The 19,560-nt window shown below is 39.0% G+C and overlaps 1 protein-coding gene across 16 annotated transcripts in view; it reads left to right on the top strand.

Annotated features, from left to right (window-relative positions):
- The window catches only part of FOXJ3 (forkhead box J3), a 159,333-nt gene that overhangs the window by 96,220 nt on the left and 43,553 nt on the right, over positions 1 to 19,560 (top strand). For all 16 annotated transcript variants that reach the window (XM_047449488.1, NM_001198850.2, XM_024454163.2 and 13 more), the window contains one exon: positions 11,695 to 11,778. In XM_047449488.1, coding sequence (XP_047305444.1) covers positions 11,695 to 11,778 — 84 coding nt within the window. The remainder of the gene's footprint in view (positions 1 to 11,694; positions 11,779 to 19,560) is intronic.

Here is a 19,560-nt window from a genome sequence, read left to right as displayed (position 1 = left end):
TCTATTAGAGTTGTATTTGAAATCTGGAATCAGTGTTTACAAGATAGGTACTTTTGTTTTAGTTTTATGTGTGACAATTGATGAGTAGTTAGTTACATTCAAAAGATGTTGTCCATTTTGGTACATATACCTTTAAAACCAGGGAGATTTAAGTAACTCATCAAGTGAGTAGAAGATAGCTAAAAAAAATCATACCATGTCAGGTATAGAAAAAATATTTGACCAAGGTTAACACTCATCCAGCAAACCACCAATAAAAAGAGAATTTCCTTAACTTGATGAGACGCATTTATGAAAAATCTACAGTTTATATTATACTCTGAGATTGAGAACAAAGCAAGGATGTTTACATTCAACCACTTTTATTCAAAATCCTGTTAGAGGTCCTAGCCAATGGAGTAAGGCAAGAAAAAGAAATAAAAGGCATCCAGATTGAAAAAGAATAATGTAAGCTTGTCTTTATTTGCAAACATTAGATCCTAAGGAATCTATGGGAAAAACTACTAGAAATAATATGTGAGTTTAGCAAGGTTACAGGATACAAGATCAATATATATTTTTTTCTGTACTAGGAAGGAATGCTTGGAAAATGAAGTTAACAAAAGCAAAATAATGAAATACTTTAGGGATACATTTTAACAAAATACATGTTGACCTGTTCACTGAAAACTGCAAAACATTACCAAGAGAAATAAGGGCAGATCTACATGAATGGAGACATGTATAGTATGTTTGTGGAGTGGAAGACTCAATGTTAGATACCAGTCCTCCCCAGGTAGATTTATAGAGTTAATGTAAACCCAATAAAAAAAATCCTAGGCTGGGTGCGGTGGCTCACACCTGTAATTCCAGTGCTTTGGGAGGCTGAGACAGGAGGATAGCTTGAGTTCAGGAGTTCAAGACCAGCCTGGGCAACATACAAAGAAGAAGACAAATTTGCCAGGTATGGTTGTGCATGCCTGTGTTCCCAGCTACGTGGGAGGCTGAGGTGGGAGGATCTCTTGGGCCTGGGAGGTTGAGGCTGCAGTGAGCCATGATTGTGCCATTGCACTCCAGCCAGGGTGACAGAGACCCTATCTCAAAAAGGGAAAAAATAATTCCTCATAGGTTTCATTTTTAGAAATTGGCGTGCTGGTCCTCTTATTTATGTGGAAATGCAAAGGGCCTAAAATAGGCAAAATAATGTTGGAAAAAACTGAAGTTGGGCAAACCACTGCCAGCCCGCAGGTCAGCTTGCCGTGGTGGTGGGGAACCAAAGTTGTAGGATATATACTGCCTGATTTCTGATTTTTATACAGTTAACAATAATTAAGATAAAATGGTATTGGCGGCTGGGCATGGTGGCCATGCCATAATCACAGCACTTTGGAGACTGAGGTGGGCGGATCACTTGAGGTCAGGAGTTTGAGAGCAGCCTGGCCAATGTGGTGAAATCCCATCTCTACTAAAAATATAGAAAAATTAACCAGGCATGGTGGTGCACACCTATATTCCCAGCTACTTGGGAGGCTGAGGTGGGAGAATTGCTTGAATCTGGGAGGTGGAGGTTGCAGTGAGTGAGATCACAGCACTCCACTCCAGCCTGGGTGACAGAGTGAGACTCCCGTCTCAAAAAGTAAAAAAATAAAAAATGGTATTGGCATAAGGATAGACATGTAGATCAATAGAATAGAGTTTAGAAATAGACTGTCATATATATATGTGTGTGTGTCTATATATATGTGTGTGTGTGTGTGTGTGTGTGTGTGTATTTTGATAGAGGTACCAATGTAATTCAGTAGGGAAATGTTACAATATTTTAAATGATGCTGTATATCTGAGTGAACAAAAAATTAATATTGCTCCTTATCACACACTTATACAGAAAATTAACCCTATGTGTACCAGAGACCTAAACATGGAAGTTAAGACTATAAAACTTCCGGAAGAAAACAATGGAGAATATATTTGCTATCTTGGAGTAGGCAAATTTAAAAAAAAAGATATAAAGCACATATCGTAAAATGAAAATTTGATAAATTGGACTTTATTGAATGAAAAGCTTTTTGCTCCTTACAAGGTTCCATTATGAAAACAGATAACCACAGATTGTGAGAAAATACAGTACATATTCACATAGAAATGACTCGTTATTCGGAATATTAAAAAGTCTAATAACAGAAATAGCCCATATATATATATATACATATATATGTATATGTATGTATGTGTATATATATATATGTATGTATGTATATATATATATATATATATATGTATGTATGTATGTATATATATATATTTTTTGAGATGGAGTCTTGCCCTGTTGCCCAGGCTGGAGTGCAGTGGCATGATCTCTGCTCACTGCAAGCACCGCCTCCCGGGTTCAAGCCATTCTCCTGCCTCAGCCTCCAGAGTAGCTGGGACTACAGGTGCCTGCCACCATGCCCAGCTAATTTTTGGTATTTTTGGTAGAGACGGGGTTTTACCGTGTTAGCCAGGATGGTCTCGATCTCCTTACCTCGTGATCCACCCCCCTCGGCCTCCGAGAGTGCTGGGATTACAGGTGTGAGTCACCACGCCTGGCCCAGAAATAGCCTATATTCTTATAATCCAAATAAAACATGGGCAAAAGATATTTGGAATACTAAAAAGTCTAATAACAGAAATAGCCTATATTCTTATAATCCGAATAAAACATGGGCAAAAGATATCAATAGACACTTTACAAAGGATAATATATGGGTGGCAAATAAGTACATGCAAAGATGTACAGCATCTTTGTTAGAGAAATGCACTTGCAAATCACTGAGGCACAACCACACATCAGTAGAGAGGGTATAATTGAAAAGGCTTAAAATACCAAGTGTTGGCAAGGACGGAAAAGCTGTATTGTCATACACTGCTGTCGAGAGTGGAAAATAGTTTCACAGTTTGAGTTCACTTGTATGAAATGCTAGAAAATGCACAATGATAGGAATCAGTGGTTGTATGGGATGAGAGAAGGCTAAGGAAAGGGAATTGCTTCCTGAGTCACGCAAAGGAGATTTTTAGTGTTCTGTATTTTTAGTGTTAGTTACATGAAGGTATACAGTTGTCAAAATTTCTTAAATTGCACACTTAAAATGCGTGCATTTTATTTTTATTTAAATATACTTCGGCAAAGTTGATTTTAAAAATAAAACTAGATTGAGTGTGATGGCTCATGCCTGTAATCCTAGTGCTTGGGATGCCTAGGTGGGAAGATACTTAGAGGCCGGAAGTTCAAGATGAGCTTGGGCAACGTAGCAAGACCCTGTCTCTACAAAAAGATAAAGGAAAATATTAGCTGTGCCTGGTGACAGGAACTTATAGTCCTACCTATTCAGGAGGCTGAGGAAGGAGTATTGATTAAGCCCAGGAGTTTGAGGTTGCATTGATCTATGATTGTGTGCCACTGTGTTCCAGTGTTGGCACCAAAGCAAGACCTTGCCTCAACACCCTTTCCTTGCCAAAAAACAAAACCAAAACCACTTAAACAAAAACCTCCTGTTTCCTACTTGCTCCACATGAGTCTAGTGGTGTAGATCCTACTCTGGGAGGAAATTGGACTGATCCTGTGTTCGTTGATTGACTGTCTAAAATGGCAGTTCAGTTTTTGTGAGATTTCTATATTGTCTAACAAGGAAGAGCAAAGGTAACTGCTTCTTAGATGGCCGGGTGTGGTAGCTCACACCTGTAACCCCAGCATTTTGGGATGCCCAAGGCAGGAGGATCATTTGAGCCCAAGAGTTTGAGACCAACCTGGGCAACATGATGAGACCCCATTTCTACAAAAAATCAGAAAACTAGGCCTGGTGCAGTGGCTCACACCTGTAATGCCAGCACTTGGGAGGCAGATCACCTGAGGTCAGGAGTTCGAAATCAGCCTAGCCAACATGGTGAAACCTCGTCTCAACTAAAAATACGAAAATTATCCGGGTGTGGTGGCGGGCGCCTGTAATCCCAGCTACCTGGGAGGCTAAGGCAGGAGACTTGCTTGACCCCAGGAGGCAGAGGTTGCAGTGAGCCGAGGTTGCGCCACTGCACTCCAGCATGGCTGACAGAGTGAGATTCTGTCTCAAAAAAAAAACAAAAAAACACAAAAAAAAACGGGTGGAGCCAAGATGGCCGAATAGGAACAGCTCCAGTCTACAGCTCCTAGAGTGAGCGATGCAGAAGATGGGTGATTTCTGCATTTCCAACTGAGGTACTGGGTTCATCTCACTGGGGAGTGTCAGAAAGTGGGTGCAGGACAGTGGGTGCAGCGCACCGAGCGTGAGCCGAAGCAGGGCGAGGCATTACCTCACCCGAAAAACGCAAGGGGTCAGGGAATTCCCTTTCCTAGTCAAAGAAAGGGATGACAGACAGCACCTGGAAAATTGGGTCACTCCCACCCTAATACTGCACTTTTCCAACAGTCTTAGCAAACGGCACACCAGGAGATTATATCCCGTGCCTGGCTCGGAGGGTCCTACGCCCACGGAGCCTTGCTCATTGCTAGCACAGCAGTCTGAGATCAAACTGCAAGGCGGCAGCAAGGCTGTGGGAGGGGCGCCCGTTATTGCCTAGGCTTGAGTAGGTAAACAAAGCGGCCAGGAAGCTCCAACTGGGTGGAGCCCACCACAGCTCAAGGAGGCCTGCCTTACTCTGTAGACTCCACCTCTGGGGGCAGGGCATAGCCAAACAAATGGCAGCAGAATCCTCTGCAGACTTAAATGTCCCTGTCTTACAGCTTTGAAGAGAGTAGTGGTTCTCCCAGCATGCAGCTGGAGATCTGAGAACGGACAGACAGCCTCCTCAATTGTAGCCTAACTGGAGGCACCGAGTAGCCTAACTGGGAGGCACCCCCCAGTAGGAGCACACTGACACCTCACACGGCCAGGTACTCCTCTGAGACAAAACTTCCAGAGGAACGGTCAGGCAGCAACATTTGCTGCTTGCCAATATCTGCTGTTCTGCAACCTCTGCTGCTGATACCCAGGCAAACGGTCTGGAGTGGACCTCCAGCAAACTCTAACAGACCTGCAGCTGAGGGTCCTGACTGTTAGAAGGAAAACTAACAAACAGAAAGGACATCCACACCAAAACCCCATCTGTACGTCACCATCATCAAAGACCAAAGGTAGACAAAACCACAAAGATGGGGAAAAGACAGAGGAGAAAAACTGGAAACTCTAAAAATCAGAGCGCCTCTCCTCCTCCAGAGGAACACAGCTCCTCACCAGCAACGGAACAAAGCTGGACGGAGAATGACTTTGACGAGCTGAGAGAAGAAGGCTTCAGACGATCAAACTACTCCGAGCTAAAGGAGGAAGCTCGAACCCATGGCAAAGAAGTTAAAAACCTTGAAAAAAAAATTAAACAAATGGCTAACTAGAATAACCAATGCAGAGAAGTCCTTAAAAGACCTGATGGAGCTGAAAACCAAGGCATGAGAACTATGTGACAAATGCGCAAGACTCAGTAGCCAATTTGATTAACTGGAAGAAAGGGTATCAGTGATGGAAGATCAAATGAATGAAATGAAGTGAGAAGAGAAGTTTAGAGAAAAAAGAATAAAAAGAAACGAACAAAGTCTCCAAGAAATATGGGACTATGTGAAAAGACCAAATCTATATCAGATGCAGAAAAGGCCTGTGACAAAATTCAACAACCATTCATGCTAAAAACTCTCAATAAATTAGGTATTGATGGTACATATCTCAAAATAATAAGAGCTGTCTATGACAAACCCACAGCCAGTATCATACTGAATGGGCAAAAACTGGAAGCATTCCCTTTGAAAACTGGCACAAGACAGGGATGCCCTCTCTCACCACTCCTATTCAACATAGTGTTGGAAGTTCTGGCCAGGGCAATGAGGCAGGAGAAGGAAATAAAGGGTATTCAATTAGGAAAAGAGGAAGTCAAATTGTCCCTGTTTGCAGATGACATGATTATATATCTAGAAAATCCCATCATCTCAGCCCAAAATCTCCTTAAGCTGATAAGCAACTTCAGCAAAGTCTCAGGATACAAAATCAATGTACAAAAATCACAAGCATTCTTATACACCAATAACAGACAAACATAGAGCCAAATCATGAGTGAACTCCCATTCACAATTGCTTCAAAGAGAATAAAATACCTAGGAATCCAACTTACAAGGGATGTGAAGGACCTCTTCAAGGAGAACTACAAACCACTGCTCAATGAAATAAAAGAGGATACAAACAAATGGAAGAACATTCCATGCTCATGGGTAGGAAGAATCAATATCGTGAAAATGGCCATACTGCCCAAGGTAATTTATAGATTCAATGCCATCCCCATCGAGCTACCAATGACTTTCCTCACAGAATTGGAAAAAACTACTTTAAAGTTCATATGGAACCAAAAAAGAGCCCGTGTTGCCAAATCAATCCTAAGCCAGAAGAACAAAGCTGGAGGCATCGTGCTACCTGACTTCAAACTATACTACAAGGCTACAGTAACCAAAACAGCATGGTACTGGTACCAAAACAGAGATATAGATCAATGGGACAGAACAGAGCCCTCAGAAATAATGCCGCATATCTACAACCATCTGATTTTGACAAACCTGAGAAAAATAAGCAATGGGGAAAGGATTCCCTATTTAATAAATGGTGCTGGGAAAACTGGCTAGCCATATGTAGAAAGCTGAAACTGGATCCCTTCCTTACACCTTATACAAAAATTAATTCCAGATGGATTAAAGACTTATATGTTAGACCTAAAACCATAAAAACCCTAGAAGAAAACCTAGGCATTACCATTCAGGACATTGGCATGGGCAAAGGCTTCATGTCTAAAACACCAAAAGCAATGACAACAAAAGCCAAAATTGACAAATGGGATCTAATTAAACTAAAGAGCTTCCACACAGCCAAAGAAACTACCATCAGAGTGAACAGGCAGCCTACAGAATGGGAGAAAATTTTTGCAATCTACTCATCTGACAAAGGGCTAATGTCCAGAATCTACAAAGAACTCAAACAAATTTACAAGAAAAAAACAGCCCCATCAAAAAGTGGGCGAAGGATATGAACAGACACTTCTCAAAAGAAGACATTTATGCAGCCAAAAGACACATGAAAAAATGCTCATCATCACTGGCCATCAGAGAAATGCAAATCAAAACCACAATGAGATACCATCTCACACCAGTTAGAATGGCAATCATTAAAAAGTCAGGAAACAACAGGTGCTGGAGAGGATGTGGAGAAATAGGAACACTTTTACACTATTGGTGGGACTGTAAACTAGTTCAACCATTGTGGAAGTCAGTGTGGCGATTCCTCAGGGATCTAGAACTAGAAATACCATTTGACCCAGCCATCCCATTACTGGGTATATACCGAAAGGATTGTAAATCATGCTGCTATAAAGACACATGCACACGTATGTTTATTGCAGCACTATTCACAATAGCAAGGACTTGGAACCAACCCAAATGTCCAACAATGATAGACTGGATTAAGAAAATGTGGCACATATACACCATGGAATACTATGCAGCCATAAAAATGATGAGTTCATGTCCTTTTTAGGGACATGGATGAGGCTGGAAACCATCATTCTCAGCAAACTATCGCAAGGACAAAAAACCAAACACCGCATGTTCTCACTCATAGGTGGGAATTGAACAGTGAGAACACATGGACACAGGAAGGAGAACATCACACACCGGGGCCTGTTGTGGGGTGGGGGTAGGGGGGAAGGATAGCATTAGGAGATATACCTAATGTTAAATGACGAGTTAATGGGTGCAGCACACCAACATGGCACATGTATACATATGTAACATGCACGTTGTGCACATGTCCCCTAAAACTTAAAGTATAAAACAAAACAAAAACAGGCGTGGGGGTGGGGTGTGGACCTGTGGTCTCAGCTACTTGTGGGGCTCGGGATCACTTCAGCTTTGGAGGTCAAGGCTGCATTACGCCATGGTCGTGCCACTGTATTTAAAAAAAATAAAAATAGAAACGGCTGAGAGGTACTTTTTGGTGGTAAAATATACATAACATAATTCTTACCATTTGAATCATTTTAGGTGTACAGTTCAGTAATATTAAGTTCATTCACATTCTTGTGCAGTTATCATTACCATCCATCTCGAGAACGTTTTCATCTTCCCACACTTAAATTCTTCACTCATTAAACAATAAGTACCTACATTCCCTTCCCCTTATCCCCTACCAACCATCATTTTACTCTTTGTCTCTAAGAATTTTAGTACTTATAAGTGGAATCATACAATATTTGTCCTTCTGTGACTGGCTTATGTGTCAGAGTATCCCTCGTTTTTTTTGTTTGTTTGGTTTCTTTTTTGGAGATGGAGTCTCGCTCTGTCACCCAGGCTAGAGTGCAGTGGCGTGATCTCGGCTCACTGCGAGCTCTGCCTTCTGGGTTCACGCCATTCTCCTGCCTCAGCCTCCCGAGTAGCTGGGACTACAGGCACCTGCCATCATGCCCTGCTAATTTTTTGTATTTTTTTTTTTTTTTAAGTAGAGACGGGGGTTTCACTGTGTTAGCCAGGATGGTCTGGATCTCCTGACCTTGTGATCCGCCTGCCTTGGCCTCCCAAAGTGTTGGGATTACAGGCGTGAGCCACGGCGCCTGGCCAGAATATCCCTCCTTTTTAAGGTTGAGTAATACTCCATTGTATGTATGTGGCATATTTGTTTATCCATTTATCCTTCAATGCACACTTGGACTGCTTTACCTTTTGGCTGTTGTGAGTAATATTACTATGAACATGGGTGTTAAAATACTTGAGTTCCTGCTTTCGTATCTTTTGGATATATATCCAAAAGTGGAATTGCTGGATGATTTGGTAATTCTGTTTAATTTTTTTAGGAATTGCCATATTTTCTACAGTGGTTACACCGTCACACATTTCTATCAGTAGTGCATAAGAGTTTCAGTTTCTCTATGTGCTTGCCAATACAGGTTGAGCATCCTTAATCTGAAAATTTGAAATACAAATGCTATAAAATCCAAAACTTGTTGAGCGCCAACATGATGCCACTAGTGGAAAATTCCATGCCTGACCTCATATGATGGATTACAGTCAACGTTTTGTTTTCATGCAGAAAATTATTAAAATTATTACAAAAAATTACCTTCAAACTATGTGTATAAACATTTATATGAAACATAAATTAATTTTGAGCTTTAGACTTGGGTCCCATCCACAGGATCTCTCATTAGGTATATGCAGGTATTCCAAAATCTGAAAAAATCTGATATCCAAAAGACTTCTGATTTCAAGCATTTTGGATAAGGGATACTTAGCCTGTACCTGCTATTTTCTGTTTTTTTTGATCATAGACATGCTAGTGGGTATAAAGTGTTATCTTACTATGGTTTTGATATGTGAAGAGGAATTTTAAGGTCTCTTTATTCAAACCTGTGATTTCAGAGATCAAACTCAAATACTGTGTTAGCCTGAACTGTTTGGTGGAAGATTTCACAATTAGTTTTGTGAATCTTTTTAATTATTAGAATTTGCATTTAGGCGTTCAGGATTTTATGAATACCTAGTGGATAGGTAGGCTATGGGCAAATTTTTTCCCTTTTGTTGATTTATTTGTGACAAGCCACAACCATTCGTATTTTGTGTGGAAGAAGAGTTATCTATTTGTTTTTGTAATTTTATTGAAAGGTTTACTAACAAATCAGGGTCAAGTTTGGACATTGAATGGTTTCCCCAGATTAATACACATATACACACCCATCCAAAACAAAACTAAATGCTGGAATTTGTCATTTCTATGAAAAGTGGTTTTTAAACTATTGTCCAATGAGTTTTGGTATTTTCTCTGCTACTTTATTTTTAATTTTTATAAGAACTCAGTATAAAATTTTTCCCCCTTGCATTTATTCTGAAACTTGCTAGCCAAACCTATTCCCAAAATCATTGTTTTCCCATTTTTAGTGCTTTTTGTAGCATCTGCATTTTATAGGGTTCTTGGCAAGTTTGTAGTTCCTACCTAGCAGGTTCTTACCACATCTGGTAGACTCCTTAGCTGAAATGTAGTGACCGTTTTGAAAAGATAACATAGAAATACCCCAGCAGTAGCTGGGCGATGAAATGAACATTAAGCTCAGGTACCTACATAGACCAGAATCTGAGACGTACACACCTACCTTGTACCCCAACAGTGTACACTGACATGTACATAGTAGTACCCTGTACACTGATATTCTTGGTGCAGTTTGTTAAACAGCTTTTTTTCCCTTCTCATTTCGACAGATGTTAATTGAGTACTTGCTTTGTGTCTGACATTGTGACTGGCACTGTGGATATAGAAACGAGTAAAATAGTCCCTATCCATAAGGAATTTATAGCCTAGAAGGGGATACAGACCTGTAAACAGAATTGAATGTTAATTTGCAAACAATGGTCTAAATGTGTAAAAAGTGTAGAGATCTTGCAGAGGGAGAGAGTGATGAATTCTTGGGTATGGCAGGACGGTCAGAAAAGGATTCCTTTGGATAATCCGAGGTAAAATTTGAAGGTGGAATATGAGTTTGTCATTGGTATGGTAGGTATTACAAGTAGTGAGGTCAGCGTGTAGGACAGGAACAGATAAACAACATGGTATGTTCAAGAAAGTATAAGGAGATGATTCGTGTTGGGCATAAAGTGTGAGGATTGATAGGTGAGGGTTGTATTTCCCCTCATTGTTAAGCGTTGCCTTAAAAAACGGCCTAGGAAGATTAATGAGATAGTAGAGGTGAAGACTAAATTTGGATATGATCACTGGGATTAATTGTAAAACTAGGATATACATTGTGTTTCTGTTTCTGAAATGCATATCTTCCTCCCTTCCCTCTTTCCCTTTCTTGAACTCCCCTCTTTCATGCTTTCCTCCCCCATGTGTGTGTGTATAGAGGCAGGATAATTGAGGGAAAAAGAGCTAAAAATCCAGACTTTGTTTCTGTTTGTTTTTGTTCCTGGTTCTCACAACTTTGAATGGGAAAGCCACTTTATCTTTCTGTGTTTTGCTCTTCTTGTTTGTATAATATTTGCAAACTTATATTATCTATGGATCTATGCTTTTCCAAAGTTTTTTTTTTTTTTTTGGAGAGTCACAGTTTCTGAGTACCTGGAACACAGTAGGTGCTCCATACATATTTTCAAATGAATGCTGTGATAACTTGTCTCAAAAAGTAAGAGAGAATAGTTAAGTCACGACAGAGTAAGCAGTAAAAAGTTTATGTACGTATCATTGCTTCTCAGGAACACTTACTATATAAAATGTGTTCAAGCAGTTTGTCTTTAAAAATGTTTCACTAACCATGTAGATTTGTGAGGTCCTGGGCTATAGAAACTACAGTATCTTTATACATTAAATTCTTTTATTGTCATATAATTATCATCTGTTCAATTGAGAATTACTATAAAAAATGTGTTTTGTTGATCATTTTCTTTCTAAATTTTGGTGTGGCAGAAGTTCTTGGATTTGGATTCTTCAGTTTATGAAAGTTTTCTTTTAATAATGTAATTATAAGTGGATATATTTTCTTATATAATCTTTTTCTCAGTTCAAAACAAGTGTTTCTTGTGCTATTTTTCCATTGTATTTGCAGAATGTTTGCTTTTGATGCAAAGGATTATAAAAATCCATTTTAATATCATAGGTTTGCTGTAATATACTGTTAATATAATTTCTTTACCTCTAGGGGTCCTACTGGGCAATAGACACCAATCCGAAGGAAGATGTGCTGCCTACTCGGCCAAAGAAGAGGGCACGATCTGTAGAACGGGTAAAGGCTCTTTATCATAAATTTAGTGTAATGCATTGAATATGTCTGAAATACAGATTTTGAAAGTTCTTTTCCAGTCTAGCACATGTAACTATAATGATGGTAAGATTTTATTTGTGTAGCATTTTACATTTTTCAGAACACTTTTCAGACTCATTTTATTTGATCTTAACTCTGAGGGACAGTTTAGGAATTAAGTAAAAGGTTTTGTCATAATTAGGGCGCAGGTGTCGTTTGAGACTTGAATCCAGCTCTCTTGAGTTTTAATTTGGTATTCTTTTCTCTACAACATTTAGGAATAGTTTTATGTAACACAACTATTCCCTTCTATTATAGAGGATCAGTTTGGTTGCATTGAATTTTCCCCATTGTCCTCAAAATACCTTTTCCTGGTTCTGTCCATTTAATAGTCACTTTGTACACAACATTTCTAAGTTGGGTGCGTGTGTATTGCTTGTAAGATAATTCTTACTTGTGAATTAATGGTTAAAATTAATTTGCAAGAGTGAAAGTAAAAAGGAACTATAGTTAATATCCTAAGTTGTCTATTTTAACATATTTTTAGTCAGCACTTTGACTGCCGTCAGCTTTCCTTATCCTTTCTGCATTTCCAGCATCTCAACTAAAACATACAAACACATATCCATCCTACCTTACTGTTCTTCAAGACCCATTTCTAATGTTAACTGCTTTGTGAAGCTTCGCTTACTCTCTTCCATTTTTGTTCTTGTAGAATTTTTATAAAACTCTTTTATGGAATTTCTTACACTTTGTAGAAATTATTTGTTTTTATATTTGTCTCCTCTACTGGAATATGTGCCCCTTAAGGGCAGAGAAAATACCTTTCATTTGTATCTCCAGTGTTACCATTTTTCACAGCTTATAATAGATACTAGTAAATGTTTGCAGCATGAATCAGGGCAAAGAGAATAGGATAAGATGGAAGAAATGGAGTAAATGCTTGTCAAATAAATTTGTTCTGTGCCCATTCCCAGTAAAGGGTTAAAACTTTTGAGCCTCAAAGATAAAGATCTCAAACTGGGATTAGGTTGGGATCACATGAGTTCATGAGGTACAGCAGCAATGAGATTTAGTAAGGAAGATTTATTGGATTCAGCAGAGGGAATTCAGTAAGCCAGTTATCAAGATATATAAAATGAATTCTTAGGCCAGAACAACTTTTGACTTTACACAAACCAGAGTTTAAGAAGTTAAAGTTTAGTATTGGTGACATGGTCTTCTGGTAACAGAGCTAGACAAAATTTTTTTTTTTTTGAGATGGAGTCTCGCTCTGTCACCCAGGCTAGAGTGCAATGGCATGATCTCAGCTCACTGCAACCCCACCTCCTGTGTTCAAGCCATTCTCCTGACTCAGCCTCCCAAGTAGCTGGGATTACAGGCACCCACTGTGCCCGGCTAATTTTTATATTTTTAGTAGAGACAGGGTTTTGCCATGTTGGCCAGGCTTGTTTCGAACTCCTGACCTCAGGTGATCCACCCACCTTGGCCTCTCAAAGTGCTGGTACTACAGGCGTGACCCGCCGTGCCCGGCCAGAGCTAGACAATTTTACAAGAGATGTTGATAAGCTCAGTATGTTATCATTTGAGAAGGAACGAACATCAGTTTCTGCTCTCTTGCCTTTGCCTTTTTTTTTTTTTTAAGCACTCCTCTCAGCTTATACCTAGCCTTTGCCTTTTAAAGTAGGCTTAATGCATGGACATTATATGAATGTGTGGAGTATAAAACATTTAGCATCTGTTGCCAGAATTTGAAGGAAGGGGAGAAAAATTCACATTTTAAAAAACACATAGCATTGTTAAACAATTTGGAAAAGATTGAAGAGCTGAAGAATTGCGTTCTTCTCTATTTGCTTTTTTCTTCTGAAGTTCCTGGAATTTCAGTTATTTTTGGAAGTTGGAATTGGGCGAACAACTGTCCGTGTCTTTTGGATATTAAGCTTGCCTTTTATTCTTGTTACCTTGTTTTATTAAAGCAATCCCTCCCTATTTTTGAGAGTCTTCCTTTTTTTTCTGAGACTGTATTGGCAGTTTTATAGTGGAGGCCTAAAGAAATACAGGATTCAGGTTACAAAAACATGTGTTATTGAATGTACATTTTGGACATATATTTTCTGTATTCATTTTCTACTGCTTTTTGATCATCACTTTAAGTTTAAAATGTAAAATATTCAGAAATTTACTTTTGTGGTATATTTTCACAAAGTATTCATAAACATACCAGGGCCTTTCGATTACTAATACTGATATTCATTTTGGCCTAAGCTGGATATTGGTTGCCCCTGTAGGAGCATACAAAGAGATTAGCTGTAAGCAAAGGGCATATAATTAGGGGGACAGATATTATTTAACAAATATACTAAAATATAGTGTTCTTATGGAACATAATTTCCTGCCCTGATAAACTGAATTACCTGTATTTTTCCTTTAGAGTTTTTTTTAGAGTGGGAAGTGAGAGGTTATATAATATATAGTATTTTTGTTAGGACAGAGTTTATATTTTAAGTAACCATTGGGTTTTATCTAAGAAAATGCCTAGGGCAAATAGTGATGGTCCTGAACATGACCTTCAGACATTTAAAGGATAAAAGTTAAATGTAGATGGTAAATAAATTGATACCCCTCTAAGTTCCGTATTAAATTTCTGAAATTTGTGATTCCTTTGTCCACATGTAAACATTGAAATTCTGTGTGAAAAAAATAAAAATTATTTCACACATTTTTAATTTTGAAGTGATGAGCTTTTGATGGAACAGAGAAGGCTTTCTTTCCTTTTTTTTTTTTGAGGGGAGTCTGGATTTCACTCTGTCACCCAGGCTAGAGTGCAGTGGTGCTGCTGGCTTACTGCAGCCTCTACCTCCCGGGCCCAGGTTGATCCTCCTGCCTCAGCCTCCTGAGTAGCTGGGACTACCACCACGCCCAGCTAATTTTAAAATTTTTTGTAGAGATGGGGTCTTGCCATGTTGCCGAGGCTGGTCTCAAACTCCTGGGCTCAAGCAGTCCACCCACTTCAGCCTCCCAAAGTGCTGGGATTATAGATGTGAGCCACTGGGCCCAGCTGAAAAAAGACTTCTAAACTGCTAAAGAGAAGTGATTTTAAAAAATGCAAGCAAGAGCATCTTTATGTCTTAAACGGAAGATAAAGCTTGACAGTTACCTCCATCCTAATATTATTTTTTCTTTCTTATTTTTATTTATTTATTTTTTCTTTTGAGACAGAGTCTCAAAAGACACCCAGGCTGGAGTGCAGTGGTGCAATCTTGGCTCACTGCAACCTCTGCCTCCTGGGTTCAAGTGATTCTTCTGCCTTAGCCCCTCCGAGTAGCTAGGATTACAGGCGTTCACCACCACGCCCAACTAATTTTTGTATTTTTAGTAGAGATGGGGTTTCATCATGTTGGCCAGGCTGGCTCCATCCTAATATGCTTAACCCAGTTCTCTGGAATACTTACCTGTCCCCTCCATTTACATGAGCATAAGCCTGTGTGTGCTCTCTGTTCTGTTATTATTATATTTCTTCTTTTCTTAATCCATGAGTTAGTTTATAAATCTCCTTTTCCTTTTAAAAATTTATTTCATCTTATCATTTTTTAATCATATAATGGTCCTGAAGACCTTAAACAAATTGAATAAAATTTCAGTTTATTGAAAAGATACTGAATAAAATGGACAGACTCTAGTAGGAATCTCATATTTCTTTTCTGACTTCACAACTTACTAGTTCCTGTGACTTTTGGCAAGTTGTTAAATTCTTTGCACTTCAGTATTCTCAGCTATAAGTAAGAGGCTAAAAGTCAAAACAATAGAAGATTATGCTGAATTTATGTGTCAAATGCTTTTTAAAGGATTTTATGTGTATTAACTCATGTAATTTTTAAAATAACTCTGATGAAGCTGATGAACATGGATGTTAAGTGAGTTATCCAAGGTACTAAAAAATACCAAAGCCAGAATTTGAACTCAGATAGTCTTGCCTTCACAGTTTGTGCTGTCTACAACTACATTATTCTTCCACTGGTATTTGTTATGCTGAAGACTACAACACTGAATCAAAATTCTTTTTACAGATGCATATTCTGTTGTGAGCTCATCATCCTTGATTTAAAGCAGAATTCCCTCCATTAATTCAAACATATATAATTAAGTAACATAAATGTGATTATAAATGACAGAGCAAATATTAAGTAATGAATTTGGTAGACCAACTGAAGTGATTCAGAATACATAATGCTGTCTGGGAAGGCCTCTAAGGAAGAGGAATGAGACTTTGAGACTAGTAATTTTGGTGCGAAAGTGGAGCTGTTTTTGCGTAGAAAATGCTAAAGGATGTTCCACTTGGAGACACAGCATGCATGATTGACTAGTAGGTAAGAAGTACAGGTGGGCATAATTGAAGACCGTTTAAATTATTGTGAAGAACTTAGGCTGGAGTGTGGATATTTAGATAAGGGGTGGACAGATTTGGTTAGATAAACTAAAGTTATGAGATCAGGACTTTTACTTTGATTTGACAGCCCATAGTGTTGAGAAGTGAATCAAAACAGTTAAGGTACATAGTCTTCACATAACCCATTGCAAGAGGAAGATGCTGAGTAGATACAGATGGTGTTGCAATAGTAATGGCCTGAGCTAGGGATATATACATAAATGAGGTTCTCTGGAAAACTAGCATGCTTTCTGAATGCTGTATATACCTGTAATTATATGTAGTGTCATTTTATCAGTTTGACAGATCTTTATTCTGTAGATACTGTGTGCCAGGCATTGTACTAGGGTACTGTGGTGCATACCAAGAAGAATAAGACGTAAGACACATAATTTTAGGACAAGGGTAAAGTATAGAAGGTATTTTAAGAAAGATAAACTATTGTGTGCAGAGGAAGGAGAGATTATTTCTTACTAGTACTGTCTGAGAAGGCTTCATAGGTTATGTGGCTTAGCTTTCAGGTGGTGATAGGCAGAGCAAAGTAGAGAGAATACCATTCAGGGTATATGTCTAATAAATGAGGGTTAAGTGTCTATCATTAAAAGGTATTGTTCTAGATCCTGAGGAAACAGCAATGAACAAAACACAAAACCTACTTCCTGTCCTCATGAAGTTTATGTTCTGATTGAGGGGAGGGAATTTAGAGTGAGAAAGGTAGGAGTAAACACAAGATAAGAGGTCTTTATTAAAGGTATTGGGTAGAAAAGTATTAGGATTTGAGTGGGAACACAGTAGTTAATTTTGTCTGGATAAGATTTTCCTTTTTGAAGTTAATTTGCATTATAAAAATTCATGCTTATCAGACCACACCTTTTGTATTCTAAGCACTAAGTGTTGAGGGAACAGTTGGTAAACAAGACAGTCATACCCTCTCCTCACTCAAGCAGGGAAGATAAACTGATAAGGTAGGATGAATGTACATTCCTGGTGTTGCTTATTGTCTCAGCATAACTACTAGTTCTGCATTCATTCTCCAAATAGCTTGTGGATGATAAATTATGTGGTCACAGAAAGATAAGGGTTTTTGAGAACTGTGGGGCCATGTAGCAGAGAGGCATAACAATCTAATAATCAGGGAAGGTTTTCTTGAAGAAGTGACGTTAATTGGAGGCCTGATGGATGAACTGAAATAGGGCAGATTAGTGGGATTTGGAAGGTGAAAAACTGGTTGTAAAAAGGAATGCCCTCAAAGCGCAAGACAGGTCAGTATGGTTGACTGAGCATGGAATCCAAGAAAGACAGTAATTCCTTATTTTTCAACTTTTTATTTCTTCTTCTTCTTCTTCTTCTTCTTCTTCTTCTTCTTCTTCTTCTTCTTCTTCTTCTTCTTCTCCTTCTCCTTCTCCTCCCCCTCCCCCTTCTCCTTCTCCTCCTCCTCCCCCTCCCCCTCCCCCTCCCCCTCCCCCTTCTTCTTTTTTTTTTTTTTTTAATAGAGACAGGGTCTTGCTACATTTCCCAGGCTGGTCTCAAACTCCTGGGCTCAAGCAGTTCTCTTGCCTTGGCCCCCCAAAGTACTGGGATTAAGGTGTGAGCCACCTGTGTTTGGCCAGTTTCCTGACCTTTTTGCATTTTGCTTTTTAATTTGGGCTTGCAAGCAATTAAACTATTCCAAGGAAACTAGTGTCAAGGAGTAGAAGAGGGAACATATATCTTAGGTAGTTTTTTAGCAGTGGATCATGCCTGTAATCGCAGTACTTTGAGAGTCCTGGGCAGCAAGATAAGACCCACCTCTCCATCTCTACCAAAAGAAAAAAAAAATAGTGGGTGTGGTGGCACCTGCCTCTAGTCCCAGCTACTGGGGAGGCTGAGGCCAGAGGATTGCGTGAGCCCAGGAGTTTGAGGTTGCAGTGAGCCATGATTGTGCCACTATACTCCAGCCTGAGCAACAGAGCAAGACCCTTTCTCAATAAAAGAAAGAAATGCCTCAAAACAGTGAGTGCTCCAAGTTACTTTTATCATCTTGATAATCAAGAAATCATATTCTTGTCTATTCATTCTTTGATCCCCCCAACCCCCTTTTTAACTTAAATCTTTTGTCTTGGCTATTTTCTAATGTTATTCTTTGCTTATAGAAACTTATGATGCTGTCTCAGTAGTTCTCTGTGTGTGAGGCTGTTTCAGGGAGCACATGAGGTCAGAACTGTGTTCATAATAAAACTCAGATGTTCTTTGCTTTTTTCATTCATTATCGCTCACTCACACCTTTTCTAGAGACTACATGACATGTGATTTTGCCATAGATTGAATGCTGAGGCAGATGTGTCTTCTATAATGGCAAGCATTAAAGCAATTAAAAATACGTAAATTAATGCCATTCTTCTAAATATTTTTGTTTTGGAGAATGTTTTATGCAAAATAATATTATGTTAACATGTATGTTTATTCTTGTTGGTTTTAAATGAATTAATGATTATTGTCCTGAGACTAAAAATTTGAGAACTATTGCATTAAAGAAAGATTTTGTATCTATCCTAGGAGACTTTCCTTTTGAGAAAAGGAAAAGATGTCTGCCATGGTTTGGGTTTCCTCAGAAGCAGACAAGAAATTGAGCACAGGTAGTTTGAGGGATGATCCTTGCAAAGTAGGGCAAGGAGATAGGACAAGGGAATGAAGCCAATAAGGGTAAATCACCCAGTCAGTTAAAACTGTTAGCACCTAGAGCTCGATCTCATTGGGGACTCCGGGAGGCAGTTTAGAACTGCAGGCCAACGAGTGGGATGTTTATCCATCGGTTCTTCCTTCTCATTAATTGAGTGATGCTTCTAGGGGCTTTAGCTTTTCAGCACCTTTGGCTTGCCCTGCATGAAGCCAAAGCATGCTTCCCAATCAGAAAAAAAGCCCTCGAGGAGAAAGTTGCTGTTATTTGTAGTAAGCAACCTTCAGAGTGTAGGTGGGATATGGGAGGGTTTGGATGGTTTTTGCCATGTCTTTACTTTTTTTCTATTGGTGGAGTGTGTTTTCAGACCCTTTGTTTTTGTTTTTCCCTTTGCAGCCTCCTGGATTTTCAATTCCTAGCCCAAGAAATCCTTTAAAAACATACTTTGTCTCTTTTCAAGTGTGTATGTGCACAACTGTTCCTCTTAAATTAGTAGACTCACGGTGTATGTTTTTGAGTGTATTGTTTCGTGTAATTGAAATAGTCTCTTCCTGGTCACTGCTTAGTGTGCCTAAGTTCCATATTCAGAGTTAAAAAATATAAGTGACGCATTCAACACTTTTATGGAAGAAGTTGGAACTCTGTGACTATTGCATATGGGTAGTGATTTCAGATATTTACT

The sequence above is a fragment of the Homo sapiens genome, chromosome 1 (genome assembly GCF_000001405.40).
Source record: "Homo sapiens chromosome 1, GRCh38.p14 Primary Assembly".
Classification (NCBI taxonomy): domain Eukaryota; kingdom Metazoa; phylum Chordata; class Mammalia; order Primates; family Hominidae; genus Homo; species Homo sapiens.
Note: the sequence above shows the minus strand (reverse complement) of the source record. Positions and strands in the feature narration are given on the sequence as shown.